The sequence below is a fragment of the Homo sapiens genome, chromosome 16, assembly GCF_000001405.40.
Source record: "Homo sapiens chromosome 16, GRCh38.p14 Primary Assembly".
NCBI lineage: Eukaryota > Metazoa > Chordata > Mammalia > Primates > Hominidae > Homo > Homo sapiens.
This window is the reverse complement of record NC_000016.10, coordinates 9,211,467-9,218,557: the sequence shown is the minus strand read 5'-3', so window position 1 is coordinate 9,218,557 and position 7,091 is coordinate 9,211,467. Positions and strand designations below refer to the sequence as shown.

Below are 7,091 nucleotides of genomic sequence, written 5' to 3'. Positions count from 1 at the left end.
CACTGCAGTATCAACCTCCCAGACTCAAGTGATCCTTCTGCCTCAGCATCCTGAGTAGCTGGGACTACAGACGCACATCACCATGTCCTGACAATTTTATTTAAATTTTTTTGTAGAGATTGGGGTTGGGGGGTGCAGGTGCAGGTCTTGCCATGTTTTCCAGGCTGGCCTCCAACTCCTGCACTTGAGTGATCCTCCCACCCCAGCCTCCCAAAGTGCTGGGATTACAAGTGTGAGCCACCGGGGCTGGCCCATTTATTTTTTTATAAGGCAGGGAACTAAACAAAAAGCGGGAGTGGTCAGATGTCAAGCCCAAGATCACACCAAGAACTGGATGTTAAGAGTCATATATCAGGCCGGGCTCGATGGCTCATGCCTGTAATCCCAGCACTTTGGGAGGCCGAGGCGGGTGGATCACCTGAGGTTAGGAGTTCGAGACCAGCCTGGCCAACATGGTGAAACTCTGTCTCTACTAAAATATACAAAAATTAGCTGGGCTTGGTGGTGGGTGCCTGTAATCCCAGCTCCTTGCAAGGCTGAAGCAGGAGAATCGCTTGAATCCAGGAGAGAGAGGTTGCAGTGAGCCAAGATCGTGCCACTGCACTCCAGCCTGGGTGACAGAGTGAGACTATCTCAAAAAAAAAAAAGAAAGAAAGAAAAAAAAGAAGAGCCATATGTCGAAAGCTTTAGCTAAGTTAAGGCTAAGTGTGCTTTAGCCTCTACACCTCACTAATCAGATCTCTCCAGGGCTGAGTGGAGGTGGTTGGAGGTTGGCTGTCAGATACAAAAATCCTGCCACTGCTGCTAAGACTGTGAGCTCTTTTTTTTTTTTTTAAATACTTTAAGTTTTAGGGTACATGTGCACAAGGTGCAGGTTTGTTACATATGTATACATGTGCCATGTTGGTGTGCTGCACCCATTAACTCGTCATTTAGCATTAGGTGTATCTCCTAATGCTATCCATCCCCCACTACACCCCACAACAGTCCCCAGTATGTGATGTTCCCCTTCCTGTGTCCATGTGTTCTCATTGTTCAATTCCCACCTATGAGTGAGAACATGCGGTGTTTGGTTTTTTGTCCTTGTGATAGTTTGCTGAGAATGATGGTTTCCAGCTTCATCCATGCCCCTACAAAGGACATGAACTCATCATTTTTTATGGCTGCATAGTATTCCATGGTGTATATGTGCCACATTTTCTTAACCCAGTCTATCATTGTTGGACATTTAGGTTGGTTCCAAGTCTTTGCTATTCTGAATAGTGCCGCTATAAACATAGGTGTGCATGTGTCTTTATAGCAGCATGATTTATAATCCTTTGGGTATATACCCAGTAATGGGATGGCTGGGTCAAACGGTATTTCTAGTTCTAGATCCCTGAGAAATTGCCACACTGACTTCCACAATGGTTGAACTAGTTTACAGTCCCACCAACAGTGTAAAAGTGTTCCTATTTCTCCACATCTTCTCAAAAGAAGACATTTATGCAGCAAAAAACACATGAAAAAATGCTCATTATCACTGGCCATTAGAGAAATGCAAACCAAAACCATAATGAGATACCATCTCACATCAGTTACATTGACTGTGAGCTCTTATCCCATCTCACCACCTGGGAATAACCTGGTCTGCTCCTTGACCTTCCTATAGGGACAAGGCCTAGTAGGACACAGCCTAAGAGCCTAAGAGAACTCAGGTCTCCAGTAAGGTCCCCAGGGGAGTGCCAGTCAAAAGTCAGTTTAATCACTATTTAGGAAAGGCCCCTAACCCTGATTTGGGGAAGGTCATGCCTCAATTGAACTGTCACACTGGGCCAACTCCTTGGTCCAGCCAGACAGAACACTGGTGGACACATCATGGAAAAATCTTGTGTCAACTTCAGTAGACTCATTGGACCATCCACAGTAAGGATTAGGGTTGGATCGGTCAGGGTCCCAGCAGGAAATTAGCTCGCCACTCCAATGGGGTGAGACCAACTTGAGCTGAGATGAATAAAGAATTATTTAAAAGGAAAAAATGTGCAGGGTGTTGGAAATTCTCAAAGGACAGTGCAGTAACCTGAGGCTTGTGGCAGTGGAGCAGTTACCCCCTTAGGCCTGGAGGGGTGAGGAGGAGGGAGCAATTATCAAAATCTGGACACAGAGAAACCTGTGAGTGCAGGGTCATAAAGCAGGAGCAAAGACCCTCAGTCAAGGAATGCGACTGACCCCAGTCGGCCCTGCGAAGAGGGAGCAAAGAGAAGAAATATCTTGACCTCGCTCCTTCACTCCTACCTCTTGACAATGCTCCCCAGCCCAACCCAACCCAAGCCCTAAGATCAAGGGAGCCCTTTGATGTGGTTCATACAGGTCAGCCTCTGAGGGCACAGAGCAGGAGGACAGGGAGCAGTGGACCTACAGGGACGCACAGAGTCACAGCGTCTGACGTTGGCTGAATCCTCCCTTAAGCACTTTCATTCACTTAATGTAGTGTAGTTTAGTTGACCTTAACAATTAACATATGAGGCAGGTAATGTTATTGTTCCCATTTTACGGATGAGAAAGATGAGTCTCAGAGGGATGAAGTTGCCTGACCAGGGCCACACAACTGGGAAATGGCTGAGCCAGGATGTGAACCCAGTTCTCCTCTCCTCTTGACTATTTCCCAGGCTGGCCTAAAAGAGGCTGAAATGAATGTGTCCCCAGAAACCTGAATACCTCTCTGGTTTGTCAGGATCCAGCCAGGACTGATGGTGCTTTAAAACACTGAAGTGTAGTACTACCAAAGGGGCTTCAAGAAAACCTGCACACCAGGCTGGGTACGGTGGCTCATGCCTGTAATCCCAGCACTTTGGGAGGCTGAGGCGGGCGGATCACTTGAGGTCAGGAGTTCGAGAACAGCCTGGCCAACATGATGAAACCCTGTCTCTACTAAAAATACAAAAATTAGCTGGGTGTGGTGGCTATGCCTGTAATCCCAGCTACTCGGGAGGCTGAGGCAGGAGGATCGCTTGAAACGGGGAGATGGAGGTTGCAGTGAGCTGAGATCACGACACTGCACTCCAGCCTGGGTGACAGAGCGAAACTCTGTCTCAAAAATAAATAAATAAATAAATAAATAAATAAATCGTGCATAACATCTTCCAACGGGTAATACACATTTGGTTCTAACTAATGTCATTATCGCCAATTATTAAGCAGAGATGGTCCCTAGAAAGTGTGTCTCAGGAGTACTGTGGAGTCAACTGAGCCTTCACCAATTGGCCCAAGTATCCCCCCAGGGACAGGGTGAGTGAACAAAGCCCGCCCAGCCATCTCTCACCGTTTGAGACTCAGTCCTAGCAAGGGACAAGAGGCTGACATGAAAACGCCCCCCTTCCCTCTGTCCTCTCCCTAAGCCAACATCCCTGCCTTCAGCCTCCAAGTGGGGCCAAGATTATGCCCACCCAGGATGAGGGAGCAGGATGCCTTCCTGCCCTCGACCGACAGCAGCCACAAGTCATTACCTGGGACCTATCTGGGGCACCTCTTCCCCGGCTAGGATGCCACAAATGCCCAGATGATGAACACTGATTGCGGTCGAGAGCAGCCCCAGCAAACCGGATACCCCTCACATATGAGTAGATTCCTTTTCCTAAGGGGTCACCCCAGCGGGGGAGGTGACATGTTCAGGGACAGCAGATACACGTCATGATCATTCTTCCTCTGGGGCTCAGAAACAGCTCAGTAGTTCATCAGGTTCACAGCAATCAGGCCCATGGTGGCTGAATTTTTTATTTATTTTTTTTTTTGAGATGGAGTCTCGCTCTGTCACCCAGACTGGAATGCACTGGTACGATCTTGGCTCACTGCAACCTCCACCTCCTGCGTTCAAGCAATTCTTGTGCCTCAGCCTCACAAGTAGCTGGGACTACAGGCGCCCGCCACCACACCCAGCTAATTTTTGTATTTTTAGTAGAGATGGGGTTGCACTATATTGGCCAGACTGGTTTCAAACTCCTGGCATCAAGTGATCCACCCACTTCAGCCTCCCAAAGTGCTGGGATTACAGGCGTGAGCCACCATGCCTGGCCAAGGCTGATCATTTATTTGAGGGCAAAGGAGAGAGGCTATGGTGGGTTGGGGCTAAGCTAGGCACTGGGGATACAATGGGGACACAGGCCCTGCCCTCCTGAAGCTTCTAATCCGGAAGGGGAGATGGGTATTAATTGGATATCATGCCAAAGGGTGAGATGTTGCAAAGGGAGATGAGCATTGTGCAGAGAAAACATGAATGGAAAACCTACCTAGATTAGAGGGTAGGGAGGGCTTTCATGAAGAGGTGATGTTTAGATGGAGATTGAAAGGACAAGCTTGAGTTGACTCAGTAGGGACAGGAGAGCTGCAGCAGAGGGGGTAGGCCAGGGAGTAGGACAGATGCTACCCACATACCAAGAGCCACTATTCATGGGCATCGGCTCCATGAGAAGGAATGCAGACAGCTTCTAGGAGCAAAGACCAGCCCCCAGCTGGAAACAGGCACCTCAGTCCTACAATCACAAGGAACTGAAATCAGCCAACAACCTGAACAAGTCTGGAAGTGAATTCATTCCTGGAGCCAACAAATGGAACGTGGCCCTGCTGACCCCCTGATTTTGGCCTCATGAGGCTGTAAGCAGAGGACACAGCTGAGCCAGGCTGTACCTGGTCTTCTGACCTTCAGAACTCTGACATAACAAATGCACATTTTTTAAGTTGCTCCATTCGTGAAAACTGGTTACAGCAGCAAAGGAACATGCATACGCTTCCCATACTGTGAGAAGCCCAAGTCACACGGAGAGGCCTGAAGGATGAGGCCCCATGCTGACAGAGAAGCCGGGGAGCCCTGTGGCCCTGAACCTAGGGATGAAGACGACCCCTGGGATGTACAGCTCTGCCGAGTATTCGGATGAGTCCACCCCCGCTGCAACTGACCCACAGCTGCAAGAGGGACTCCAAGCCAGAACCACCCCCCTGAACCCACTCAACCCACAGAAGCGTGGGAGAGAATGACCCACTGGGGTTTTAAGCCACTAAGTTTCACAGCCACAGATAACCAGAAGTGGCTGTTGTGAGGATTAAATTAGAGTTAATACCCTAAAGCGCACAGAACAGCAAATACTCCATAAATGTCAGCAAATACACTTTTACTATGATCATTCCCACTTGGCAAGTGAAGAAATCGGGACTCAGAGAGGGATGTGCAGAGCTGGAGGGCAGCACAGCTGGGATCCCAGCCTCACATCTGCCTGACTCTAGATCCCTGTTCCTCCCATGGCACTCAGCTGGCTTCTAACCCTTCGCGCCTGCTAGAAGGGAAGGTTGTACTTCTCCCGTGGCAGTGGGCTTCCATGCTGCCAGGACAATTAAAGAATCTATCTGCCCTTATCTGACACAGGATTCCTGCAACCAGTGACCAAGCTGCAGGAGGCTGACAAACCCCCCAACAGAACTCTTATGTCATTAGATTCTCATTTCCTCTTCCAGGCAGCTTCACGGAAAGGTAGACCAGGCATGAAGGGTGCAGCTAGCAAGGACAGTCCCTTGCTACTCAGCCCTGCCTCCCACTGCCCCATCTCTGCACCCCAAGAGCCGCGTATAGGAAGCTGCTGTCCCTCAGCCAGCACAGCACCAGGACTGGAGGTTGCCCAGCTGGTGGCTTTGAGCCCTGAGGGCAATTCATCACGTCTACAGGATTCATTTCCATGAGAGTCTGCTGCATCCAGCCTCCTGAACAGAATAGCAATAACCAGGTGCCATCACCGGAAACTGAAGCCCATGCAGTTGACACAGTCCAGAGTCTGCTGCTCCCCAGCTGTGGGACATAGGGCAGGTCCCTTCTCTCCCATAAGACAGAGCCAAAAAACATAGCAAGGAAAGAAATATTCTTTCTCAGTTTCTCCTTTTCTCTCCACCCCCCTCTTCGTATCATCCCCTCTCCTCTCATTCCTTTCTCTCTTTATTTGTTCCTTTATTCTCTGAGAGCACCGGAGGAAAGGCATGGACAGCTAGGCTTCCTTACCTGTCCCCAGTGCTTGTTTCTGCTCCCCCTGCCCTCCAGCCATGTTCAGGACCTGGCTGATCACAAGAACTTGCTGGCCACACTCAGGCCATGGCTGGGATTCCATGACAGCAAATGTCCCCACCGCAGAGACCTCAGAAGTGCGGTTAGAGAAGGAACCATGGACCACGATGTGAAATCTCCTCCCGGCTCTGTCTGGTGACTCTTAAGGTCCCCTTTCTATCCCTGCCTCTGTGTCTAGATCCAGAGAATGAGGACAGGACTTGGAATTTTCCACAGGATGGTGGATGAAGAACTGATACGTGGAGATATTAAGTAAAATCCCTGTGCTCTTGCAGTTAATCGGTGGTGGGCAGGAATTATCAAACCATTCTCTTCTCCCACCTACCACCCTCCTCCTCCCTCCACCCAGCATTAGATCTGGGCCTTCTCTCCATTCTGTGTTCTGTCAGGGGCCTGAAGATGACAAATAAATTGTTGGATCCATAGAGACCATCTCAGATGTGTCCTTGCAGGTCTGGCTTCTCTTCTGGGATGATCACAATGACAATGACATTAAAAAAAAAAAAAAGCCATGCACATGAGGAGACACAGTGGTCTAGGGAGAGTGGCAGAGAAAGTCTATAGGCAGCTGGGTGTGGTGGCTCACACCTGTAATCCCAGCATTTTGGGAGGCTGAGGCTGGCGGATCACCTGAGATCAGGAGTTCGAGACCAGCCTGGACAACACGGTGAAACCTGTCTCTACTAAAAATACAAAAATTAGCCAGGTGTGGTGGTATACACTTATAGTCCTAGCTACTTGGGAGGCTGAGGCAAGAGAATTGCCTGAATCCAGGAAGCAGAGGTTGCAGTGAGCCAAGATCGTGCCACTGCACTCCAGCCTGGGTGACAGAGCAAGACTCCACCTCAGGGAAAAAAAAAAAAAAAAAAAAACTCAGGTCTACCCAACTCCAAAGCCACTGCCCCAGCCTCCGCCCTACTGAGGGATGCACACCAACCTCCTTTCAAAGCCTGCATTCCCTGATGCTGCTGGAGGCCTAGAAATTTACTCCAAAGCTGGGAGATTTATG

General features: G+C 49.4%; 2 annotated features.

Annotated features, from left to right (window-relative positions):
- Positions 211-417: a silencer, noted in NCBI's record as "fragment chr16:9311998-9312204 (GRCh37/hg19 assembly coordinates)". NCBI's record gives its function as "represses an EF-1alpha promoter that drives an FKBP-Casp9 reporter gene in an ReSE screen in K562 erythroleukemia cells {active_cell/tissue: K562}" and the evidence as "EXISTENCE:reporter gene assay evidence [ECO:0000049][PMID:32094911]".
- Positions 4,793-5,294: an enhancer, noted in NCBI's record as "H3K27ac hESC enhancer chr16:9307121-9307622 (GRCh37/hg19 assembly coordinates)". NCBI's record gives its function as "activates a minimal SCP1, AML or CMV promoter by ChIP-STARR-seq in primed H9 embryonic stem cells {active_cell/tissue: H9 hESC(primed)}" and the evidence as "EXISTENCE:reporter gene assay evidence [ECO:0000049][PMID:30033119]".